This window comes from Homo sapiens, chromosome 10 (assembly GCF_000001405.40).
Source record: "Homo sapiens chromosome 10, GRCh38.p14 Primary Assembly".
Lineage (NCBI taxonomy): Eukaryota > Metazoa > Chordata > Mammalia > Primates > Hominidae > Homo > Homo sapiens.
Genome location: NC_000010.11, coordinates 65883301 through 65910251, shown reverse-complemented (window position 1 = coordinate 65910251; position 26951 = coordinate 65883301). Strand labels below are relative to the sequence as shown.

Sequence of the window (26951 nt, the reverse complement as noted above, 5' to 3'; positions counted from 1 at the left end):
AGCACTAGGGAAATAAAAATGCTGCTCATGGGAATCTTACCATGGTGGAGGAAAGCAAAGCAAGTTTCTAGGGGGGGAATTTGTTGAGGTTTTAATAGGAGGGTGGTTATGGCTTAGCAGTTTACAGAACGATAACATTCCATGAGTAGGGTATGTGTCAAGACATAGAAATAAGAATGAGTTTGTCACATGCAGGGTCAACTGGCCAGCATGGAGGGCACTGAATGGTACTGATATTATAAGAGTTCAGAAAGGCAAAAGTGGGGTAGATCACAGAAGATTCAATGTCAGGCTGAGGTGTTAAGGCTTTAATTTGTAGTTGGGTACAACATCAAAGTCTTCTAGCAAGCAAGTTCTCAAATACAAGCAAAGTTATAAGATGACTAATTAGGTAGTAAAATGTAGGATTGATAAGTTATTTAGAGTGAGAGAAGGGACTAGGAAAAATCAGTTGCACTAGTTCTGTATGAGCTAAACAAATGCCTGGGTGAAATTATAGGGATAGTGATAAAAAGAAATATTCTCAAACCAGAAAGCATCAAACAAACTGACAGTAATAATTGTCAGCTACAGCAACGAATTCTGTGAAAGATATTGTTTCCAGTGTACTTGGTCACATTAAAGAGAACCAGCTGTCTAAAAGCATAATCATATATGCTCTAATAGATGATGAAAGTTGAAGGCAAATCATATTTATCAAGCATTTACTAAGTGTCCAGAATTGTGCCAAACATGTACCTGCACTATTACATTGACTCTTCACTGAAGCTTAGTGGTTACTTCATCCTCCTCCCACAGTGCAGATAAGGAGATGAAGACCAGTATAAGTAATTTGACCATGCACACCCCGCCAGTGAGAGGCAGATTTGTGATCTGAAACAAAGAAGCCTGAATTTGGTCTCTAATATAAACTATTCTGCAGACTGGAATCATTTTTATTTTTCACCATCTGCTCATACAGAAGCCTTTGCATCAAAGATCTGAACAGTTTTTGTTTCATCTGTGTTCCATCTGAATGAACCCACAGCTGGAGACATCCTAAAAATGGTAGCAGGAGAGTTACCACAAGAGACTTTCCCAAACCATCCCAAGATGAGGCCCATTGGGATTCCAAAGAAAGAAACGCTAAATACCAGGGTGATCAGTCCAAACAGTTTATTAAAGGAACTTACATACAGAGTACTACAGCAGTCCTTGAAACAAATAGTGAGAAAAGAGATCTAGATATGTCTGCAAAAAGGAGGTTAGGTTATGGAGCACATATGGGGATTTAAGGAATTTGGTTTAGGGCTGGGGCTAGTTTTAATGTGTATAGCAACATGTTGGATCTTTTAGTGTTTCAAGCAACAATTAAATAAGCTTATCAGTGCCTGGAAATGTTCAGGGTCCCAGCTTGGGTTCAAGCATGAAAGAAAATACATACAGTTGGCCCAGACACAAAGCAGTCAAGGCACTCTGTGTTTCTTCGTCATTACAAAGAAAAAAAGTAAGGGCAACTTGGGGGACCCTACAGACTTTCAAATGACCAAGGACAAATAGGCCCATGTCTGTTAGTTTAAACATTAACTTATTTTCTTAGTCTGATCAACTCTAGCCCGACTGACAATCTGAACAGTCAGCTCACAAGAGCTATAGTAGCAGCACTTCTCCTTCTAAGTTACTTGTCCCAGTTTTTAAGTATTCAAAAGAATGTATGTGAAAACAAGAGATATCCATAACACTCAGTGCTGTTTCAAATTTTCCTTTCATGTATGCCTGACCACAAAGTAAGGAGCTCAGAAAATATGAGACACCGTAACTGAAGAGCAATGAGAAGTCTTAGATTTTATCTTAAACTTTAGATACATTTTGCAATCTACTATGGGATATATCCTTGTTTACTATAGTACAGCTTATTTTATTTTAAAGGCAATTTCACATTTTTCTGCCAAATAATGATGGTCAAGTGGGTCGCACCATGTTTAAGATAAACACCAGATGTGCCTTGCCTGAAATCTACTGGGATGGCTGTACCTGATTTGAGAAATGCTAAAACAGGCCAGATGTGTGACTACTGTGGGATGGCAAGATGACACCATGGCCGACAGCATGGGCTTTGGCGCGACCCCACCTGGTTTGCTCCATCGTTATTAGCATCAGCTTTCTCAAGCAAGTTGCTAAACCTCTCATTACCTTTCATTACATAGTCTCATTTGTGAAACAGAGCTTACATTTCAGAGTTCAAGTAACAAAATATTTATATGTCTTATAATGGATCCTACCACACAGAATTGTCATGAATATTGAATGAATTAATATACATACTATGAATGATGCCTAGCATAAACACAACATAAAAATTTAAACATCTTTATTGTTATATATACAACTGAGAAGCTTCAAGATTAAAACACGCAAATCACACTTTTAAAACTTTCTTTTATAGAGGGAACAAAGAGAAAGAAATGCCTGGAACAGAAAACCAAAAGCACGCCAAGGAATCATAGCGAGTAGCCAATTTATATTAATTCTGTCAACAAATATTTGTTGAATACACATGGGTTGGATATTCTTCTAGGTACTAGGGCTGCAGCAGTCAGTAAAAACAATCTTTCCTCTAGAAGGACTTTAGAGACTAGCAGAGGACATAGCAGTTAATTAAATAATGCATCCAAGAGTACACATTTTTATCTTTAAAAATTGCCACAAAGGAGAGCCACACTGGTGCAATGAACCTAAGTTGAGGGGATTTGGCTGAGTCAGGGAAATCTGGAAAGGCTGGTCTGAGCAAGTGAGTTCCAAGCGGACATCCGAAGAATCGGCAGGAGCTTGCTGGTGACATGTGATGACCGAGCATTGTAAGCAGAATGAGCAGCCTGTGCGAAACCCCTGTGGGAAAAGCAGCTCCACACACACCAGGTTCTGAAAACAGGCTGGTGGAGAGTGTGAAAGTCAGCTCGCAGGAGAGGGCATCCGAGGAGCAGCCATGGGGTGGCTGGCCAAAACAGGGAAGACAGTGAAGGAATAAGACAAATCGTGGGCTTTGTGATTCCACAAACCATGAGCAAGATCAGAGGCAGGTCCCCAACACTGTGTCTCCCTCTACAAGGAGGCTCAGTGACTGCTCAGAACCCTTCTTCCACCCCAGGCCTCTCCTTCCTCATGCTAACCTAACACATTCATCTCCTGGGAGGAAAAAATAACTCTGAGTTGTATTTTTACAAATGGAAAAATACATGGGTTTCTATTTCTGGCGTTTGTTTTGTGGAATATGACAAAAATATTTCAACCCAAATAGGCATAATTTCTAGCTTCATATTCCTCAGGGCCTCTGCTGTGGGTCATATCTCCTTCTCAATGCTCGGATATATCTATACCAGCTCCCCTGTTCATCCCTGCATAAGAGTTCTCTACGTTTCCAGACATACCAGAGGTGCCCTTGTGAAAATGACGCTCTACAAAAGGAATTCAAATAGTAGAGATGCTCATCCTTAGAAAGAATTTATAGGGGAAGGTCTAAGAGGAAATGACTCCTTTGTTCTTTATTACAAAGTGTTTTAGGGAAAAATAGAAAAGGGAGAAGAATAAGTAAAAAGAGAAGATACAGGAAATTTATAATCATATCTTTTTTCTTCATTGATTATGAAAGCGAATATATCAAGTAGCTCATAGATATTTGTTAGAGGGTTGATCCAGGACTGGCCTTTATTGGAGTAGGCAAGAAGATGGGATGTAAGATCTTCTGATCCGAAGTTGAACATCAGGTGCTTTTCCCACAGAGACTCTCAGGGGAGGACTGCATAATGGTTAGAAGTGAGGACTCTGACTGTGACAACCCAAGTTTGAATTAGTTCATGTCTCTGTGCCTGTGTTCCCTAACCTATAAAGTGGTTATGTACCTCTAATATGTATAAGATAATTAAACAAATTACTGTATTTAAAAGCACTTAAAAGGGCCAGGCGCAGTGGCTCACGCCTGTAATACCAGCACCTTGGGAGGCCGAGGCAGGCAGATCACCTGAGGTCAGGAGTTCAAGACCATCTGGCCAACATGGTGAAACCCTGTCTCTAATAAAAGTATAAAATTAGCCAGGCGAGGTGGTGGGTGACTGTAATCCCAGCTACTAGGGAGGCTGAGGCAGGAGAATCGCTTGAGCCCGGGAGGCGGAGGGTGCAGTGAGCCGAGATCGTGCAACTGCACTCCAGCCTGAGTGACAGAGCAAGACTCCATCTTAAAAAAAGATAAAAGGCGGGGCACAGTGGCTCACGCGTGTAACCCCAGCACTTTGGGAGGGTGAGGTGGGCAGATCATGAAGTCAAGAGATCGAAAACATCCTGGCCAACATGATGAAACCTCGTCTCTACCAAAAATACAAAAAAAAAAAAAAAAAAAAAATTAGCTGGGCATGATGGCACACACCTATAGTCCCAGCTACTTGGGAGGCTGAGGCAGGAGAATTGCTTGAACCCTGGAGGTGGAGGTTGCAGTGAGCTGAGATAGAGCCACTGCATTCCAGCCTGGCAACAGAGTGAAACTCCGTTTCAAAAAAAAAAAAAAAAAAAAAAAGATAAAAATAAAAATAAATAAAATAAAATCAAATCACTTAAAATAATTCCTCCCATACAGAAATCTCTACATGATGTTATTAACTTTTCCCATTTTTATGGCTCAACCTGAGGCACTAGGGATATGATAAGGAGGTCTTCATTTGTTTTGCAGCTGTAGGCTGCTTTGTTTTGTTCTGCCAGCACAGATTCCTTTTCAAATTACCTGCATCAAGGAAAGAAATTTGTTCAACTAGTATATCTCAATTTAGAGATATGTATTATGTATTGTCACGTATGTTAACTGCAAACCACGACATTAGCTGCTTTTATGAATGTGACTTCATAGAATCCTTATTTTTTAAAGTAGATATTATCAGCATACCCATTTCTAGCTGAGAAAACTGAGGCTCAGAGTTTAAATAATTGCTCAAGAAACGGAAGAGAAGCAGCAGAAGAGTCAGGTTTTAAACACAGACTTGAAACACAGTAAACACTTTTAAAAAGCACAAGATAGCATTAATTATTATGAGTTTGTCTCTGAGCCAGACTAATTGCCTTAAAATACTACCTTCTCAAATTACCAGCTAAGACAGGAAATTAATTTAATATCTCTGAGCTCTATTTTTCTATCTGTAAAGTGGAGATAATAACTGCCCCATAGAGTTAACCCCATAGGATTATTGTAAGGATTAATTGCAAATATGCATACAACATATTTAGTGCAGTTCCTGGTCCATAGTAAGTGCACAATGAAAAGCAATTAACATAATTGCTAAATATATATTATACAATACATATAATATGATGTGTGTGTATATGCATGTGTGCCATATACCTATTTCTTCCTTGTCCATTTTGTGAAGATCTCTTATTGCTTGGCTAGAAAAGCAATGCTATGACCCTTGCCAGGGCTTCCAAAGCTATCAAGACCAACACTCCTTTTCACTAACCTACTACCATGTAATCAAAACACCTCTAAACTAGATTCCAAGTTGTAGGTTATCTTTGATGAAAACTTGGTAGATAAAATTATTTTGGTGTTATTGAGTAGTTGATATCTCATTCCTCCTTTTTCTCCACCACTATATAAAATAAATGCAATCATAGGAATATCATGATCATGATTGTCAGTCCTCTGAGCTCAAGCTAAGCCATCATATCCCCTGTGACGTGCACATATACATCCAGATGGCCTGAAGCAACTGAAGATCCACAAAAGAAGTGAAAATATGACATTCCACCATTGTGATTTGTTTCTGCCCCACCCTAACTGATCAATGTACTTTGTAATCTCCCCCACCCTTAAGAAGGTTCTTTGTAATTCTCCCCACCCTTGAGAATGTACTTCATGAGATCCACCCCCTGCCCGCAAAACATCAAAACATTGCTCCTAACTCCACCACCTATCCCAAAACCTATAAGAACTAATGATAATCCACCACCCTTTGCTGACTCCTTTTTCGGACTCAGCCCACCTGCACCCAGGTGAAGTAAACAGACTTCTTGCTGACACAAAGCCTGCTTGGTGGTCTCCTCACACGGATGCGTGAGACAATTATCATCATCACCACCACCAAGACCATGATGACATCAAGCATTACTGAATAGTTATTTCATGCCAGCATTGTGCTAGATGTTTTGCATACGTTATCCTATTTCTTACCGAAAAAAGTAGCTCATCTTGGCCATACCAGATGGTGAGAAAATTGGGGCAGAGGGAGATAACAAATTTACTCCATATGATGTTAAAATGGAAAAAGTTCCCTTATCCCCCTCTCAGGGTGTGCAATGGGTGTGTGGCTTGCTTCTTTGGTGCCCTGATTTTCATAACCCTAAGGAGAACATGCAGACGGGCAGGTTGTGGGGAGCGCTGACCCCACAGCAGTGTCTAGGGTTGAGTGTTTTCAGCTCCGAAAGCCCTGGTGGGTGTGCGTTACAATGTGCTCTTTCAGTTTTGCTGTCTGCAGGTGGCTTGTGTTAATCAGCTTAATTAGATCCTCTGCCTTATTGCAGGAACAGAGTGCTTTCTGTATCCCAGGTTCCTGCCTTAGTGTACCAGAAAAATTGGATCACATGGCTTGGAGAATGAGTAAAAAGGTTTGATTGAATGGTGGAGGTAGCTCTCAGCAGGTGGATGGGAACCAGAAGGGTGATGGGAACCAGAAAGTGGATGGAGTTGTTCTTCCCCTGGAGTCAGGTCACTCAGACCGGGCTCCCACTGCCCTTGGCCAAACTCCACATCCGTGGATGGCCTGCCAGAGTCTGCTGGTGTCTGTCTGCCTGTGTGTTCTTCTGTGGGTGTGTTCCTCTTGACATCCAGCCACTTGGGTCTGTGCCTGTTAGGGTCTAGGGGTTTTTATAGGCCAGGATGGAGGGTGTGATGGGCCAGAGTGGTCTTGGAAAATGTAACATTTGGGCACAAAAACACGAGTACCTTTCCTCACCTAGGTCCATGGGCACAGGCCCAAGCATGGAGCCGTCACCAGGGACCCCACTTTTCTCTACCCAGCACTTCCTGTCCTGCTCCTGTATCAGTGATAACTGGTAATGTCATAAATAGCAATATTCTAATGTGTGTGTGTTGTGTGTATGTGTGTGCATAATCCCTCAATTGCTGAAGTAATCCTACATAAACCAATGCATGCATTTTCCCAATGGGTGTGATTCTTAAGAGCAAAAATTGTTTTCTCTACTTTTTGTGAACAGTAGTTCGTGTCGAATATTAAATTACTGCATGTGGCCATGACATATTTGATGACGCATTATCAAATGCTTTGTTGCTTGTGTTGTCCAGATTTTCTGGGATTCGTTGGAGAGTCCCAATTTGATTACTTCGGAACACCTGCAGTAAGGGCAGACATCTTAAGTGTTCACTGAATGTTAATTAAACAAATGAGTAAATGGATTAAATTAAGTTCCAGCTGCACTGATGTAGCTTCAGGGTTTGTATATAAATGACACTTTTAAATAATTGGTACAATTGAGAATGAAATGGCCAATTCTAGAGACATGATTCTTTCTGGTACATTAAGACATAACAAGAAAACACAGATTCATGATTTATCATTATCTCTTTTAATATCAGGTTCCCATGATTCTTTCCAATTATATATAATTCTTAGAATTCTTTCCATGCTGGGGGATCTGGTAAGAAGAGTGGAAAGCAGAAGAGCCATATGGCAGCACCTCTATTTACTAGAATACACCTAAGTTATGGATTACAGTATAGTGAGCCAAGAATTCCAATGAATTTTACTAACCAGGAATGTGATGATCGCTAAGGCCTTGGTCAAGGCTTGTGTCTCCAAAACACTTTGACTTCAGATTTTATTTTCTCAACCTCAAATACCTTCTTTTCCAGGAAGAACGGGCCCATTTAGAGACTTAAGAAAAATCTCTGACTGTGGAGAAAATATTAGTCTTTCCTTTCAGATTCCAAAAAAATTGTACAACTTTATTCTGTTGAATCAAAATGATAAGTACCCCCACATTCTTGATCACAGATACTAAAGTGGTATCTCTCCTCATTAGGTTTTTGAAAGGATCGTATGAAAGAGTATATGTGAAAGTGCTTAGGAAATAGTAAAGTGTGGTCTTCATGTATAACTGTCTGGTGAGAGGATCCTGAAAGTCTACACATGAGTATCACAATCAAGATCTCCTTTTTAGGTATAAAACCTAGTTTTCAAATGATATCCTGTGTAACCTCATTTAAATGATAGAGGAAATATAGATCTGCTTAAGTTCAAGCCACGAGACTTTTGCCTGGAGCCAGAGGCAAGAGGATGAACAGAAGGTAAGAAATGCCTAATACAAGCCAGGGGTTATCTGCCTTCATTTATATTTTACTTTGGCTGAAGGTTTTTAAACATTTTATCTGGTAATACCTTTAGGGAGATCAAACAGTCTTCAGACCTTGCTCTTTCTCTTGTCTTACCCAGGGGTGATACTCATATTTATCAAGATGTTTGAATTTGGGCCCTTGATATAGACCTTTTATACTCCTAATGCTTTTGAACTTGAATTACCTTTTCTTTTCTTTTCATTTCAGAAATGATTCAAAGGATGGATTAAGTTAAAACTGACTAATATCCAGATCTACTTGGAAAGAAATGGTGGTGAAGCAGAGGAAGTCCAGGGGTATAACCTGAAGGACCTGCTTGAACAAACTAAGGTTTGTTCAAGGATTAGTCTGTCTTCAGCACCTTGAACCAGAACAGGGTACAATATAATCTAGCCAGGTTCCAGAAAATATTCTATTCCTTATCAAAAGCAAAACTTACCTCCAAGTTTTGTTTATGTTCTTAAAGTGTTATTTTCCAATCATCATCTTCTGAGGAATTCAGGGCATTAGATGCAGGAACATGAGAATTTTTTTACTGATATTCCTCATTGCTCTCAACACAAAGTGTTTTTTGAGAATCAGGAGCTAGGTAATGTTCGTTGAACCAGCCATATGCTACGAGCATGATAGGCCCTTGACGTGAACTATTTTATTAGATCTTCATAGTAGTATTATCTCCAATTTACTGAGGTTCCTGAACTAACTTGACTAAGGCCACACAACTAGTACATGTCAAGACAAGATTTTAAATTTTCTTTCCAGCTCCAAAGGTCATGATTTTCTTGCCACCATCTGTGTGTATTCTCCATGCCCCTGATGCAAAAACTCCAAAATCCTATTTCATTTTTTCTTTAGCCATATCTGTCTGGACTCCTATAAATAGGCATAGGCTCAGCTCTCAGATGCATACATGTTGATCTTTGTTTCAGGAGCTAAATGCAGCCAAAAACCATGGGCTTAGGTGGCTGTTTTCTAGTGGAGGTTGTAAGGGAAGAAGAATTTTCCACATCAAATCATGTTTGAGATGTAGTGTTGGTTTCTTCTACTAGCTGCTTTCCCTCAAACCTGTTTTCCATCCCTCCCGCTGATTTGAGCTGCCCAAATTATTTCTAAAAATTCATTTGAGGTTTAACTTATCCAGAGTTAGTTCCTGTTTCTTGAAACTTTTAACCTGGACAGATCCAGTATTTTTATAGTCATGTCTGTCACTTGGTGGCAGTTATCTACCACAAAATCCCAAATAAATAGACACCACACACACAGAAGCATATCCATGCACACACATACACAGCTGTCAGAGGTCATGAGAGTGCTTAATGAACACCTCGACTCCACTGCCCCGATTCACCCAACGCTAGACGCCTACATCACAGTGTTATTCTAAATTTATGTCAATGCATTAGGCAAAATAGTGTGGTTCCATTTTCTTTGCATATGAAATCTGCTACTCATCTTTGAGTCCTCACAAGTCCCATTTCCTTTATCAACCATCTCCATGATCTAATTATCATGACCCAAAGAGTCACGTGTCCTGAAACTCAGCACTCTTGGCCTCCTTCTCGTGCTTTGGTTTTCCTTGAATTTGCACGTGACCCTTTATATCATGACCTGTTGATTTTTCCTTAAAAATCCTACTCCAAACTCACCTCCTCTCCAATTTACTTCCTCTCTGACTTACTTTTTGTAAACCTTAACTTCTCTTTTATTTTGTTCATCTATTTTAGTGCTCAGATATACTATGCTGTTTACATTAAAAATTTTATCTTCGAAAAAACATTCTGATACCTATCTATCTATCCACATGATAAACTCTGGGGATAAAGTGGCAAGGTAGGTTAAAAAAAAAGACAGGGTGGATTGTAAGACAATTAAAATTTGTTGTGCCTTTCTGTGATGGTATTATACATCCCATCTTGTTAAATCTGGATGGAATGTAAGCCCCTATGATGTGTGTCATTTCCAGGCAGAAATTTTAAAAACCAGCCAGTGGTTTACCATGCTTCCTCTATCACAAGTTTAACCAGACAAAGAATGATCACCAGATTAGGTATTAGAGGGAAGGCAACTTGTCAGAGTTGTAGCTGAGAGAGGGAGATGTATGTGTGTGTGTTTGTGTGTAATATACATATATAAATATATATTATATACATTTATAAGTATATATTATATGTATAAATTAATATATTAATATATGTTCAAAATATATTATAATTCTTGATCTTAAGCCTGTGATATCTGGTCTTCTTTATTACCTAGCTAACCAGTCCAAACAGATACAAGTGAGGAACGGCAAAGTGAAGCAAATTCCTCTGCTCTTCAAGAAAGACAAAATGTGGCCAGGCAAGTAAAATCACTTAAAAAATAATTTCTTATTGATGTTAAAATAACATGTTTAAATTGTGATGGAAAAGTACGGAGAGGCAATGAAAGTAAATTTTATAGAGAAATGCTGAAAAGGGAAAAAATATGCTACCCAGAAGTATTTATTAGTTAATTGAGATTTGTGCTAACGACAATTAAATATAAACAGTGAAAACTTCAATTTCACATCGTTTTATAATGAAAACCAAATTATAAACAAATCTTTCTTTGAGTGAAACAGACAGTAGTTGTATTCTTTATGACTATTAAAGCAAAAGTGTTTCTCAAAATTATTCAGAGATGAATTATTTCTCTAGCACAATCAGGCTCTGCTTTGACAAGTATTGAGGTTTAAAAAAACATGTCTTTCAGAAAGCTGTTAGCAGTTTTTTCTGTTTTTTAGAGTTTTTTTTTCTTTCTTTAGAGTTTTTTTTCTTTGAATTGGGGAAATTATGAAACTAAAGAGAAACATAACCATCTCTATAGCAATGAATTAGATAAAGAGAAAGAGTAAATTTCTTAACTCTCATATCTCTAAATAACTCTGTACCAATTTCTGACCTTTTCCACTGAAAGCAAAAAAGCAGAAGAAAATGTGTAGGTGGGGTAAGGTGAGATTCCAACATGAATTCTAAAGGAAGAACAGTAAAAACAGAGTCTATTCTGGTTTATTTTAAAAATAAAGCCTTGTTCAACTAATTATCCCTTTGAATATTGCTTTAATTAAGGATGACAATAGCTCAGACAGAGGATGTCATGATCTTTTCAGTATTAAGCTTTAATTTTTCCATTTTTTTCTGATTAACATGGCTTCATTCCAAAATGTATAAAGCATGGGGGTGGAAGGAGTAAGAAAATGACTCTCCAGAGATAACTTCTGATAACGTGTTAGTTTATATTTTTCAAATATTTTATTTCCTACCTCCTTCACACTCCATTCTTCAAAGGAAACTGGCTGTATATAATCCTTTATAATTACTGTTTTTCCCCTAATAAATAATATCGTGGACAATTTCACATGTGTGAAAATATAGATTTACATCAATGCATATAGCCACATAATCCATGATATATTTCAACTATCATCTATGCATTTACCTGCTCTAAGATTTTGAAAAAGAATACTTTAAATTACAAAGAGGCCAATGCATTCATTCCTTATCTTTCAAAGTGGTTGTTTGAGCATATTTGGAGGACAGTGTAGATTATATCTTAATGACTGACATTAGAAACATTAGAAAAGAGGAAGTGAGAAATTATGTGGTTTAATTTATTTACTCACTTATTCTTTTACTCAAGAAATGTTTATTTGAGTGCCTTCCATTTGTCACATGATATGCTAGGTGCTAAGGATAATAAATATCAATATTTATTTGTAATAAATAAGACAATGCCAACAAAACCTTCTATCTTTGTGTGGTATCAGGGAGAGATAGAAAATGATAAATATTTTCGGTGATGATGTCTAGGATGGGGAAAAAAAGGAAAGGGAAAGAGCTTATGTGCATCTAGGAAAAGAATATCCCAGGAAAATGGAAAAATACAATGCCAAGACCCTGAGATGGGAGCTTGTCTGGAAAAGAAGCCAGTAAGATTGGAGGGGAAGTGAGTGAGAAAAATGGTAGGAGATGAGGTCTGAGGTCAGACTCTGCAGGTTCTTGTAGACCTTTGGCTTTTTTTCTGGATTAAGAGAGTTCATTAAAGGGTGTTGAGATGAAGAGTGATCTAATCTGGCTTATGTTTTAAAAGGATCACTCCGACTACTGTGCTGAGAATAGACTGAATGGGGACAAGGACAGAGACACAAAGACAAGTTAGGGCATTATTTCAATAATCTATATTAAACATTATGGTCTTTAAATCAGATGAGAAAAGAGGTGAGCTGATGGGGTTTGATGATGGGTCACTAGCACACTGTGAATAACATGAGAAGGCTGGGCTCATCACAAGGTTTCCAACATGAACACTGGAAAAGTAGAACTGCCAGTGATTGATCTCAAAAAGAAAATAGGAGAAGAATGTTTCAAGATGAAGATAAAGAGTTCAGATGATAAATATCTGAATTTGATATAAAGTTTGAGCTAGAAACACAATTTCTATATTAATCAGGGTATAGAAGGAATTTAATACCATAAGATGGAATTGGATTCCCAAAGAAGTGAATGTAGATAGAAAACATTACATTTTCAGTCCTCCGTTTTTTGGAAGCTGAGGAAATGAGCAGAAACTAGATGATAATAAAAACAATGGCCAGTGAGAAAAACAGGAAACAAGAAATGTTTGTATCCTGAAAGTCAAATGAAGTAAATATTCCAAACAGGGAGAAATGATCAACTGTGTTAAATTCTGGTGATTTACTTTAAAAAGTGGCCATTGAGAATAGACAGGACTATGTAATAACATAAAGACATTAATAAAAACAAACACAAATTGAACACCTGATGAATACCAGGCACCTGTTACTTCTACGGAAGACGCAAGCCTAGGTAATATCTGGTTCCTACTCCTAAGAATATAAAAACTGAGAGCTAAAGATAAGTATTTAGAGGGAAAAATTTTATAATACATATATAATGTATTTATATTTAATATTATATAAATTATTTTATATATAATTATGGCTTATAGTATGAGTGGAATTAGAATATGAGTTCTGTAACAAGGATCAGCATATGCAATTGCAGAGAGGATTAAAGCACATGACATATTCACAGAATAGGTGCAAAGGAACTAGATAAAGCATCCTACTTCTTTATTCTTGATTCACTCTCAATTCATTCTTCATTCTTGTCACAAGACACCTTTGAGTTAATGGTAATAAAGCAGGCTGTGAACCAAGAAGAAACTGACATAGTCACGGTCATTCTGTAAATTAATAACAGTTTTATCTGTAAATTATGTGTACATGGTGTGATTTTAACAAAACCAGGGAACAGAGCCCATCCAACCCAAGAAATGGTTTTTTTTTTGTAATGGAGTCTTTGTAATTTATTATAATAATTTTTCAATTTCTCCAAATATTTTTAACCTGTGGTTTGAGATCTTCTGATTTCAAACTGCTTATAATCTAAAGCAGTATTCAAATCAAACATAGCAGAAGCATAGAAACATCTGCCTAAATGAGCTTTCCCATGAGGCTTCACTAAAGAAATTTTCTCCTATGGAGGCTAGCCTTGCAAGATAACTCAAAGAATATTACTGTCTTTATTCTCTATTCTGTTTCTTTCTAATTTCTCTGTGCCTCTCTCCATACAAGGAAATTGTACTTAATCTTCTCCCTGTGGAGAAGATACTACACATGGGTGCTACCAAGAGGGATCTCACCTGAGGGAAGGCCTGGCTATAGAACAGCTAAAACCCTGCAAATCATTGATCTGGCCATTTTAGAGGAGGCCATTGTTAAAAGTTTGTGTATGTCCTTTGGGCCTTTTTCTAGGTACTTATAGCTGTATCTACACAACTTTTAAGTGATTTAAGACATTTGAATGTAGGTAAAAATATTAACATGGAATAAAGTCACAGCTGTGCCAGAGCAGCAGGTCTATATGGGTAGAACAATGAACGAGCAAACAAATTTAAGTTTATCCTCACGTCATGTCTTGGCTATGTAGGGTTGGAACCAAGATTTACAGTGTTAGACGTTATTCTGTTTAATAACACAAGCCATCCCTTCAAGTTTCTCAAGGTCTTTATAGGTACCAAGGAGACATATAAATAGGGAGTCAAGTTAACATTGAACTTCAGTTTGCTGGAAGAGTTTACTTTGTCTACATTAAGGAGTGCTAACACATTAACAGGCTAATAAATTTTGATTTCTTCTCCTCACTTCTGTTGTTATCAGATTAAAAAATAGTATTATACTTTTGTTGCTCTAACAGGCTTTAATAAGGACTAGCTGATCTGTTTTTGCTCAGTAAATAAGCCATTAGATTACACACAGGAGGTCAACAGGGACAGAAGTTAAACAGTCTTGCTCTGCCTTCAGCAGTATCCATTGCAAGAGATTAATAACATCACAAGTGCTATTTTTTTAGTTATGGCAAAAAATTATATAAATAAAAATTTACATAAAATAGTCTGAGTTTGAATATTGTGAAAGGAAAAAAATCAAATTTTTAAATTATTTTTTTCTCCTAGCATGGAGACATGGATAGTATTAATTGTACATTTGTAACATTTAGCCTTGTTCAGGTAGAGATTGCTATTACGCTCCTTTTATTTCTGAACGCGGCATAAAAGAGAAAATGACAAAGGCATGGAAAAGAAAGCCCAAGAGGAAAGATGAAAGGAATTGAGTTTATTCATTCTGGAGAGAATTATCTTGGAGGGCAGAGTAATAACGTTCTTCACACAAGTGGAGACTTCCCAGAGACGCAGCAGTGGCTCTCAGGGGTGTGGTTTCCTCCTGCACAATCCCTGCTTGTCAAGAAGGCACTTAAAAGAAGAGATGTACTTATTTTATAATTAAGTAAGGTCAAGGGATCCACTTTGAAATTCTTGCTTGGAGACCTACAATGAAAATTCTCCGCTGTCGACATGGATAACAGAATAAGCAGAGACACACTTTCACCCATATGTGAAGAATTCTGGTTAGAGACCACAGTTTTTAAATGTACCTGAGTAAGAAAGAAAATGATTACTGGAGAAGTTATACAACGACATGAAAAATTAGACAAATGCATCAGTCTGGGATAGCTTGGGAGTAAGAATAAATTTTTTTCTCAAAGTCCTACCATGTCAATAACCTGATACTAACATTATCTTAAATAACTAAAAATGCAGAATTAACGGTTAATTATGGGAAGAAATTGGTGAGATGGGCCACATAATAATATCTTTTGAGAGTCTTCTCAGTGTCTATTTCACTGTTACGTATTTGAATAAGTTCCATCCTGACATGCTTTGCCAGTTGAGCAAAGTCCTATCACATGACTTTTGTTGTGGATCTCCTGGCAGCATATACGAGGACTGAAGGTAAGAAGCACTTTCATCAAAGTCTACTGGATTGACCAGTCAGGCTGATGCACTGGGCTCTTGGGGCTCTCTCTTCTCAGAAGAATGGAAACACAGTTTGCCAAGAAGAGAAAAGTGCACGTGGTTATTCCTATTGTGCTGATGAGAAAACAGAGATTTAGAAAGTTGAGTCTTGTGGATTCACTATATCATTTTTTTTTTCAGGTGGCTTAAAACAAATGATGCTAGCTGCTAGCTACATAAAGACTTGGAAGGAATTGCAATATATTTGCTATTTTCTCATTTAGTAGCTCAAAGAACTTATCCCACTATAGCTTGCTGCTGTCACTGTGTTGTCATCATAATAATAATGACCAGTTTGGTCTTGGCCTATGAAGTCAGCAATGTAGAATTGGAAAGTTAGGCTGTTCCTCACTCCATTATCCCTCCCCATTGCCCAATGATATATTTAAAATTAAAGGAGCTTTAACCTGAAAAATACAATTTTGGATAACTTGGGAAGTAAAAAACATGCCTTCTCGATCTTGAGGATTCTTTTCAAACTGGCTGCTTTGTTGGTTAATGTTTTAATGAGACATTAACAGACGTATTTTCTGAAAATAATGTGTTATTTTCAGACTGCTTTCATTGAAAAATATCACCAACTTTTACACTTTTGCCCTGCTGGAACAGATGGCAAGCCAACTGTCAACAATATTTTTTTGTAAGGCACAGTAAAGGAGGCAGGAAGAAGAATAAAGAATGCTTTTTTTCTTCTTTAGATGTCTTAATTATATTTTCAAAGTAATTCTTTTAATATTAGAAAATATAGTTCTGTAAGTTCCCTGGAACTCATAAAGAGAAACAGGCGCTATTTGGCAGAGTTAAAGTTGAACTCACTAACCATTTGAAGAGTCTAATTTAACTAATTAGTGATTTTTGCAGCTGTCTACATTTTCTTTCATCTGGTCAAATATTAACTTTAAAACTTTTTTTCCCCAACAGAAGGATAAGCTGAGCCATAAATTTTTAAAATAAGATTTCTCAAGATTTTTCTTGAAATACTAGGCCTGATTTTTAAGATCTGGCTGAGTATTTCCCTCCTATATTGGTCTATAGATACCCTGCAGCAGAATGTTTATTTTCAAGTGATTCCCACTGATTTTATACACCCTGAAGTTTGGTAACTACTGTGACTTTAGTCTTTTAGGTCAGTAGTTTTCAAATCGAATTCCTCAAAGCCCCAAAGTTCAATGGAAGGTTCTCAGTGCTGTTATTAGGAGATGAGAAAGAGTTCTAGAGTATTTTGGCTTCAATGAAAGAATCCATTTCTAAATGTCTTATAAATGTTATTGAATTTCAAATACAACATGTGCAAAGTGTATCCTGTTTAAAATTTTGTCATTGCTGTTATCAATTTCTCATTTGGTGTTTCAGGTAGCATATATAATATTATACAATGTTTCTCATTTGATGAGGGATAAAGAAGTAGTAGTATTTCATTTTTGCCCATACGAGGAAAGAAAGAAAAGGACACCAATATTCTTCTGGGGCTGGTGTTGTGTTGGCAAGAGGAATCAAAATAGAGACTCCCTGAGGCAGAGAGGGTCTAAAACCCAATAAATGGTCTAAGACTGCCTTTCAGCAATCATGTCCTACAATTTTTTCCCCATAAAAGACCTGTATGCCCAAATCTTGAAAATGTTTATATTCTGTTCTGTTTAGAAAGTGCCAGTGTAAAGGGATACTAAGGGTTGGGTGGGAAACTGAGCAGGACTAAAAATTAACTAATTTTTTAAAAATTAAAAAATTAAAAAGAGTTGGGTTGTGGTGCCTGGAGAAAATACATTTTTAAATAAAGCCTATATAATAAAATGCAAACTTTCTTAATAGATTGCTCAAAAACGTTTTTTAAAAATGCTATTGGGGTTTATAGAAGGAAGAAGCAAAAGTGGCTTGAAAGAGGGAGGGAGAGTTATACAACTGGCCTTGGTGGAGGAATTGAACAAGCGTGGACAGAGACTATTAAGGGAAAATCTAGGTGAAGGTTAAAGCAATCTCTTTCCTTGTCATATTAGAGAATTCTTTCATGCTGTGGATAGTTGCTAGGCAGAGTAGATTGGCTATAACAGTAATCAGCAGTGCTTTGTGCCCTTCCCAGAAAGGCAGGAGGCCATAATCCAGCCCCTAGAAACTGCTGAATTCTTGGAACCATAATAATGCGCTTATTTATTCTGTTCCTACTAGTTTCTAAACATTATTCTATAATCTTATATTTGGTGACTCTTGTTGAAGAAAAATTGCATCAAACCAATTAAACAGGCAGGAAAGACTGTATTCAAGATGATTGCAATAAGAGAGAATGTAACATCCTCTGAAACAAGAGGTGGGAAAGTTCTTAAGCGCTAGGGTGAGGTAGTGGAGGTGATGAGGCCATTTATATTTGCTAATTGGTATTTATCAAAGTTAAACTTCTACCCTCCCACAGAGACTGGGAGATAGGGGCTCTGTCCTTCTTGATGAATACGTTTCAAAGGGATGAACCCCAGGCCCTTGAGATAGGCATTCCTGGGTCATAAAACTAGCAAGAGGCTATGAGAAGATTAATATTTTAAAGGGACTGAGAAAGGGCTTAAAGGTGCCTGTTTTCTAAAGTAAAGTATCTAAGAAAAGGTAGCTCAGGGGCTTAGAGTCAGGAAGAAACCTGTCAAAGTTGAGTCAAACAGAGGGGAATGTTAAAGCCACCTGGGTCACCCTCAGGACTAAAATAGCCAGTGAAAGTACACCTTCCTTCACCCATAGCATCTCAAATTTGCTTTTCAAATATTGAAATTATCTGTTCATATGTCTATTTTTCCAACAAGATTAGCACTTTTACCTCCAGCAACTACTACAGCATTAAATGATGAACTTACAGTTTTCAAAAGTATATTCATTAATTATGAACATCTTGACTACACTAAGTTATCAGAGAAAAGGGAAGTGATTTAGCTCTTGATCACAGAGACCCAGAGCATCAGTAAATCAAGTGATGACAAAAGCAAAGAACTCCATAATGACTCAGCTATTCTCAATCAGGCTGTGTTAAAACCACTCAGGTTGAGCATGGGGAAGCTCAGCCGGTACAAGTGGTAGTCAGTGTTCCCCTGACAGTATAATTTTTATGGTGTTTGTTTTATCAAACATAAATGTGCAACTTGACTGCCACAAACTTCCAGAAAGAAAAAAAACACAAAGATATCATCGCAGAACATAAAATAAGGTAAGAGACATCATTAAGAAACTTTCCTAGAATTGTTTACCTTATGGAAAAAGTAAATATGCAAAGCTCTCTGTCTGTTTGAGAGTAAATTCCTCTTTAGGAAATAAACTATAATCCTGATATTTATCAGCTCGAAAAGAGTCTGATTACAAACTTGGCAGAATGTAGGATCTACTGGGTGTGGGGAAGGAGTAGGTAATGAGCAGGTGTGAAGTGGGGGAATGGGCAGTAGAGGTAGTGGAGGATGCAGTTTTTAAAAAAATAGTTTTGGCAGAGAGTTGTTGAATTTATATTTTGTAATATATTTAATGGCATGGATTTTTAACAATTTTAATTTATCTTATTTCCTTAATTAAGAAATAAAAATTATATATATTTATGGTATACAACATAATGTTTTGATATATACATTGTGAAATGGCTAAAGCAAGTTAATTAACATATGTATTATCTTGCATACTTCTCTCTTTTGGCTGAAAACACTTAAAATCGACTCTCTTAGCAATTTTCAAGTATATAATATACTGTTGTTAATTACAATTACCATTATATACGATAGATCTCTTGAATGTTTTTCCTCCTGTTTAACTGAAATTTTGTATCTTTTGGACAACATTACCCCAATTCCCCAAACTCTGGCCTCTGGTAACCACCATTTTACTCTCTGCTTCAGTGAGTTTTACTTTTTTGGATTCCACATATAGGTGAGATCATTGCAAGGATTTTTTGAACTTAATGAATAATTAAAATATTTAAGACCTGAATCAAATGAATTATTAAATCTGGTTATGGTTGAACTTTAATTTTCCAAAATTACTGAATCTATTCAAAATGGATTTTCATAATGGAATTGAGGTCATAAAATTTGGTGATAGGAAATTCAAATTAACAACAAAAAAGGGTTCTACTTCCAAACCCATATTTTTCCCTTGACATCTCTTTTACCTTTTCCTTTTTAAAAAAATACCATCTTAAGTGGGATCATTGAATACCCTATTCAATAATAGATACAGCTGGCTTCTGTACAAAAAGATGGAATTGATTTGCCTGTTAGTTCCAGCATGATGAAGGTATTAAATTCACAGTTTCCCCACAAAGTGCTGGCCAGAAGCATCTCAGATTTTCTAGTGGCTATTAGTGCTTCATTTGAATGGGCAGTGAGTCATATCATATAAAAACTCAATGATTAAATCCTTATATATTGAAGATCAGAAAACATAAGAAAACTCATGGCCATATGACCTCATGAGTTTTTCTTTCATATTGTTGTTTATCATATATAGGTTTCCACTTACATATTTCCAAAGATATATGGGTGAAGCTCTTATTGTAAGTGTAGATTATCATAATTTTTTTTTTTGAGACGGAGTCTCGCTTTATTGTCCAAGCTGGAGTACAATGGCAGATCTCAGCCCACTACAACCTCTGCCTACCAGGTTCGAGCAATTCTCCTGCCTCAGTCCCCTGAGTAGCTAGTATTAAAGGCATGCGCCACCACGCCTGGCTAATTTTTTTTGTATGTTTAGTAGAGACCGGTTTTGCCATGTCGTCCAGGCTGGTCTTGATCTCCTGACCTCAAGCAATCCACCTGCTTCGGCCTTTCAAAGTACTGGGATTACAGGCATGAGCTACCGCCCCCAACCAGATGATTATAATTTACAAGAATACTTATGGTACCCAGTTACGATGCTTAAAAATCTATGTGGAGCTGGAGGGTAGAGTAACAATATGACTTTTCAGGTTCAAAGTTATGGTATTACAGAAAGAGGGTAGCAGAAATATATAAAATCACTTCCCAAATATATAAGCAATCATGCAATTTAGATAAATTAGTGAACCAAAGAGTAAGTAAATTGTTTCACTTACTAAAGATATTTAGTGATTACATCTTCAGAGGTGTTATTCTACCTCAGAAGCTGAGCTTTAGGGTAAAATATAGTTTTTCTATTAATGGATGAATAGGGTGAATTTCTATTAGGTTTTGCTAAAAGTCTGCAGTAAAGGCTACTCACAGATTCTGTGTAGATTAAAAGTCACATCTATCCAATATTAGAAGTGGAATCACCATGATGGCATCTAAATGTGCCTAGTGCTCACTCCCACACAAAAAGGTGTTGTCCAAAACAACAAATGAACAACTAAAATCTGAATGGAATATCTGAGGGAGAGTGGGGGAGTCCAACAAGAAACTGGTAAAATCACTGTGGAGCATAAAAGCCCAGGATGGTAGTATAGAAGGAGAGCAAGGCTCCCTGCCTCTGCCACCCCATCCTCAGGGTTAAAGGCCATGAGGAGCTTCCCCTTGAAGAGAAAGGTAAGAAGAAGGCCCTTACCAGTCCACATTGCCATAAAAGGGCACCTGCAGTTCTTACTACTTAAGAATCCCACAGTCCTCGCAAATCCTGAGTCCACTTTGGGGAGCTGCCTGGAATTCACACTGCCTGGAATTGTGCACTCCTCATCTCTCATGGCCCGAGGTGCTGCAGCACATTGCCATCTTAACACCAGAGACACTGCTGGAGTGTGCCCTTCTATGGGAGCCAGTAGTCACTGACCTCTAGCCTTGAGGCTCTTCCATTATTCCACCAGGCTTACATAGATGGCTTCAAAACCACAACACTGGCTACTCACAGTCTGGGACCAGAACAACTGTGATTCCCATTCTGCAGTGAGGAAGCCAACTCTGGGCTGATCAAACCACCACATGCTTGTGCACCTAGTTAAAGAAACAGTCAGGTGAATTACCTCCAACAAGCTCACCATTATTTTGGCTGAGCCACTGCATGCTTGTGACCCTGGTTGGATAATTAGACTGACAGACCCACCCTGAATAGAGTCACTCTTGAACTTCCAAGCTGCAATGAACCCACCCCAGCTGGAAAAAAAGCCCAGTGGACCTGCCCCTGTTAGACCAATCCCTGAGCCACAGAGCCACTATGTGTTTACACCCTGACCTGAAAAACAGCCTGACAGCCCAGCCCTCAGTGAGCCAGTCCTCCAGTTGGACAATCCATTGTGTGCACATACATTCACTGGCTTGATAACCAGCTTGGTGAACCCATCCCTTAAAAAGCCACACCACTGCAACCAAAAACTCATGCAGCTTAAGCCAACAAGACACTCACAAACATTGCTAGCATGAATTACAGCTGAAGAAACTAGGCAGAGACTACACCACTGTGTTCACACAGAACCAAAGCCAACACATCCTACCCACTTGACATTCTAAGACCCATCTTCAGGAACAAGTTTTTCTGTACAAAAGTTACTCTATAAAATTAGGAGAAATTACTGTTCTACCACATGTGCAAATAAAAATGCAGGAATACAAGAAACATGAAAAAGCAGGGAAATAGAACACCTCCAAAGAAACATAATTTTCAAGTACATGACCCCAAAGAACAGAAAATTTGTGTAATGCCAGAAAATGAATTCAAAATAATGATCTTCAGGAAACTAAGCAAGATTCAAAAGAATATAGATAGACAATTCAACAAATCCAGGAAAACAATTTATAGTCTGAATGAGAACTTCAACTAAGAGGTATATATTGTTAGCAACAACAACAACAACAAAAACACAGAAATTTTACAGTCTATGAATTTAATGTATGAAATAAAAATACAGTCAAGTATTTTTGTTCAACAGAAAACTAGACAAAGCAGTAGAAACATTTTCTAAACTTGAAGACAGGTCTTTTGAAATCACTTAGATGACAAAAATTTTTTAAAAGAATAAAAAAGGATGAAGAAAGTGTAAAAGATTTTTGGGACACCATAAAGCAAATAATTTTCACATTATGGGAATTTTACAAGAGGAAGAGTTAGGGAAAGGCATAGGAAATATATGTAATGAAATAATGGCTAAAAACTTTTCAGGTCTTGATAGAGATATGGACATCTAGACCAGGAAGCTCAAAAACTCTAAATAGATTCAACACAAAAAGGTTCTCTCCAGGACATATTATAGTCAAACTGTCAAAAGTCAAAGGCAAAAATAATTACAAAAACACTATGAAAAAGTATCATGTCATATATAAGGGAATCCAATTTAGATTAATAGCAAATTTCTCAGCATAAAACTTGAAGGCCAGGAGAGAACGGGATGATGTATTCAGAGTGCTGAAAGAAAAAAATAAAACTGCTAGCCAAGAATACTACACTCAGCAAAGCTACCCTTACGATATAAGGAGAAATAATGTTATTCTTGGAAAAATTAAAACTAAGGAAATTCATCATCACTAGACTTTCTTACAAGAAATGCTTAAGGGAGTCCTGCATCTGGAAGCTAAAGGACAATAACTATCATCATGAAAACATGAAACTATACACTGGTAAAGCAGGTACAAATATGAGAAAGAGAAAGAAATCAAACCTTATCACTACAGAAAATCACCAAATAACAAAGATAAGCAATGAGAGGGGAAGAAATGAACAAAGAATGTACAAAACAACCAGAAAACAGTTAACAAAATGACAGGAGTAAGTACTCATCTATCAGTAATTACCTTAACTGTAAGCAGATTAAAATTCCAAATTAAAAGATATAGACTAGATAATAGGTTTTTTTAAAAAAAGATCCAACCATATGCTGCCTACAAGAAATTCACTTCAGGTGTCAAGACACACATAAACTGAAAGTGAAAGGATAGAGAAAAATACTCCACACAAACAAACCAAAAGCAGGCAGGAGGAGCTATATTTATACCTTGCAAAAAAGACGTTAAGTCAAAATCTATGAAAAGAGTGTGAATCCTGAAAATCTGAGACAGGTCTCAGTTAATTTAGAAAGTTTATTTTGCTGGCTGGGCGTTGTGGCTCACACCTGTAATCCCAGCACTTTGGGAGGCTGAGGCAGGTGGATCACCCGAGGTCAGGAGTTCCAGACCAGCCTGTCCTACAGGCTGAAACCCTGTCTCTACAAAAATACAAAAATTAGCTGGGTGTGATGGCAGGGGCCTGTAATCCCAGCTACTCAGGCAGCTGAGGTAGGAGAGTCATTTGAACCTGGGAGGTAGAGACTGCAGTGAGCTGAGATCACACCACTGCACTTCAGCCTGGGAAACAGAGTGAGATTCCATCTCAAAACAAAACAAAAGTTTATTTTGCCAAGTGTGAGGATGTGTGCCCATGACACAACCTCAGGAGGTCCTGATGACATGTGCCCAAGGTAGGGCACAGCTGGGTTTCATACATTTTAGGGAGACATGAGACATCAATCAATATATGTAAGACGTACGTTGGTTCCTTCCAGAAAGGCAGGACAACTCAAGCAGAGAGGGGGCTTTCAGGTCACACAGGTAGGTGAGAGACAAAAGGCTACATTCTTTTGAGTTTCTGATTAGCTTTTCCAAAGGAGGCAATCAGATATGCATTTATCTCAGTGCGCAGAGGGATGACTTTGAATAGGATGGGAGACAGGTTTGCCCTAAGCAGTTCCCAACTTGACTTTTTCCTTTAGCTTAGTGATTTTGGGGCCCCAAGAATGCCAAGATTTATTTTCCTTTCACAAGAGACAAAAAGGTCATTATATAATATTAAAGGGATCAATTCAGCAAGAGGATATAACAATCATAAATGTACATGCATCCAAAAGTAGAGCACCCAGATACATACAGCAAATATTATTAACTATGTAGAGAGAGACAAACTCCAATACAGTAATAGTTGAGACTTTTTGTTGCCCCACTCTCAACATGGGACAAACTATCTAGGCAAAAAAAAATTAACAAAGAAACATCGGATTTCAACTTTAAATACCATATAGAAAAGACTTTAAGTCTTTATATCCTCTTGCCAAATCAATCCCTTTAATATTATATAATGACCTTTTTATAGATTTTGACTTAAAGCTATATGCTATAAAAAAGACTTTAATGTTTGGACCTAACAAATATTTATAGAACATTTCATGCAATAACTACAGAATATACATTCTTCTCATTAGAACATGGAATATTCCTCAGAATAACCATATATGTTAGGCCACAAAACAAGTCTCGACACATTTTAAACAGTAAAAATATCAAGTGTCTTTTTTGACTTAACCTAGAAATCCATAAAAAGAACTTTGGAAACTGTACAAATACTTGGAAATTAAACAACATGCTCGTGAATTGCCAATGTATCAGTGAATAAATTTTAAAAACAATTTTAGGCCGGGCGCGGTGGCTCATGCCTGTAATCCCAGCACTTTGGGAGGCAGAGGCGGGTGGATTACCTGAGGTCAGGAGTTTGAGACAGGCCTAGCTAACATGATGAAACCCCATCTCTACTAAAAATACAAAAATCAGCCAGGTGTGGTGGCAGGCACCTGTAATCCCAGCTACTTGGGAGGCTGAGGCAGAAGAATCACTTGAACTCGGGAGGTGGAGGTTGCAGTGAGCCGAGATGGCACCACTGTACTCCAGCCTGGGCGACAGAAAAAAGCAAACAAACAAAAAAAAAAAACAAAAAAAATTTTAACATTACTTGAAACAAATGAAAATAGAGACACACACAACATGCCAAAACATTTGGGATAAAGCAAAAACAGTGTTCAGAGGGAAGTTTTTAGCAAAACATCGCTATATTAAAAAAGTAAAAAGAGTTCAAGTAAACAGCCCAATGTTGCACCTCTAGAAACTAGGAAAAACAATAACAAATTAAAGCCAATATTAACAGAAGGAAAGAAATAATGATGATCAGAGCAGAAATAAATGAAATTGAGACCCAAACAACCCCACAACAATTAACAAAATAAAAAGTTGGTTTTTTGAAAAGTTAAACACAATTTTAAAAAGTCATTAGCTAGATTAAGAGAAAAAGAGAAAAAATGCAAATAAATAAAATCAGAAACAAAAAAGGAGACATTAGAACTGACACCACAGAAATACAAAGGATTTTTAGAGACTGTTATTAACAACTATACACCAACAAATTGAAAATCCAGAGGAAGTAGATACATTTCTGGACACATGCAACCTACCAATAGATAACAAAGAAGAAACAGGAAAGCTGAACAGGCTATTAACATGCAATGAGATTGAATCAGTAAGAAAAAGTCTAGCAACAAAGAAAGACCAGGACCAAATTGTTTGACTGCCGAATTCTACCAAATGTTAAAAAGAGACCTAATCCCAATTTTCCTCAAACTATTTTAAAGATTTGAAGGGCAGGGAATCTAAACTTATTCTAATAAGACCAGCGTTACACTGATACCAAAACCAGGCAAGAACACAACCAAAAAATAGAACCACAGTTCAGTATGCCAGATAAACACAGATGCTAAAATTCTCAACAAAGTACTAGCAAACCAAATCCAACAGCACATCCAAAAAATTATATAGCACGATCAACTGGGGTTTATCCCTGGGATGTAAGGATAGTTTAACATATGCAAATCAACAAACAGAATGAAGGGCAACAGTTTTATAGTCATTTAAATAGATACAGAAAGAACATTTGATAAAATTCAACACTCCTTCATGACAAAAACTCTCTACAAAGTAGGCATAAATGGAGTGCACCTTAACATAATAAAGACCATAAATGACAAACCCACAGCAAACATCATACTGAACAGTGAGAAGCTGAAAGCTTTTCCTGTGAGAACTAGAAGACAAGGATGCCCACTCTCACCACTCTCATCATAGTATCAGAAATTCTATCCAGAGCAAATAGGCAAGAGAAAGAAATAAAGGGCATCCAAATAGAAACGGAGAAGTAAAATTATTCCTGTTTACAGAAACAAATGACCTTAAATACAGAAAAATGTATACTTCACCAAAATCTCTTAGAACTAACAACCAAATTCAGTAAAGTTGCTGGATACCAAATCAACATACCAAAACTGGTAGCATTTCTAAAAACTAATAGTGGACAACCTAAAAAAAAAAAATCAAGAAAGCAATCCCATTTACAGTAACTACAAAAAATACCTAAGAGTCACTTGACAAGAGCGTTGAAAAATCTCTACAATGAAAACTATAAAACGTTGGTGAAAGAAATTGAGGAGACAAAAAAA

The 26951-nt window shown here is 37.2% G+C and overlaps 1 long non-coding RNA gene across 2 annotated transcripts in view, besides 2 other annotated features; it reads left to right on the top strand.

The window, feature by feature from the left end:
- Positions 7845-8014: an enhancer, noted in NCBI's record as "experimental_15180 CRE fragment used in MPRA reporter constructs". NCBI's record gives its function as "activates a minimal promoter by MPRAs in K562 erythroleukemia cells, with activity observed for both the introgressed and non-introgressed 10:67662081 variant alleles {active_cell/tissue: K562}" and the evidence as "EXISTENCE:reporter gene assay evidence [ECO:0000049][PMID:34662402]".
- Positions 15059-15228: an enhancer, noted in NCBI's record as "experimental_15172 CRE fragment used in MPRA reporter constructs". NCBI's record gives its function as "activates a minimal promoter by MPRAs in K562 erythroleukemia cells, with activity observed for both the introgressed and non-introgressed 10:67654867 variant alleles {active_cell/tissue: K562}" and the evidence as "EXISTENCE:reporter gene assay evidence [ECO:0000049][PMID:34662402]".
- The window catches only part of LOC105378339 (uncharacterized), a 145924-nt gene continuing 137720 nt past the window's right edge, over positions 18748-26951 (top strand). For both annotated transcript variants that reach the window (XR_001747476.2, XR_946023.4), the window contains exon 1: positions 18748-18947. This is a non-coding gene — a long non-coding RNA (uncharacterized LOC105378339). The remainder of the gene's footprint in view (positions 18948-26951) is intronic.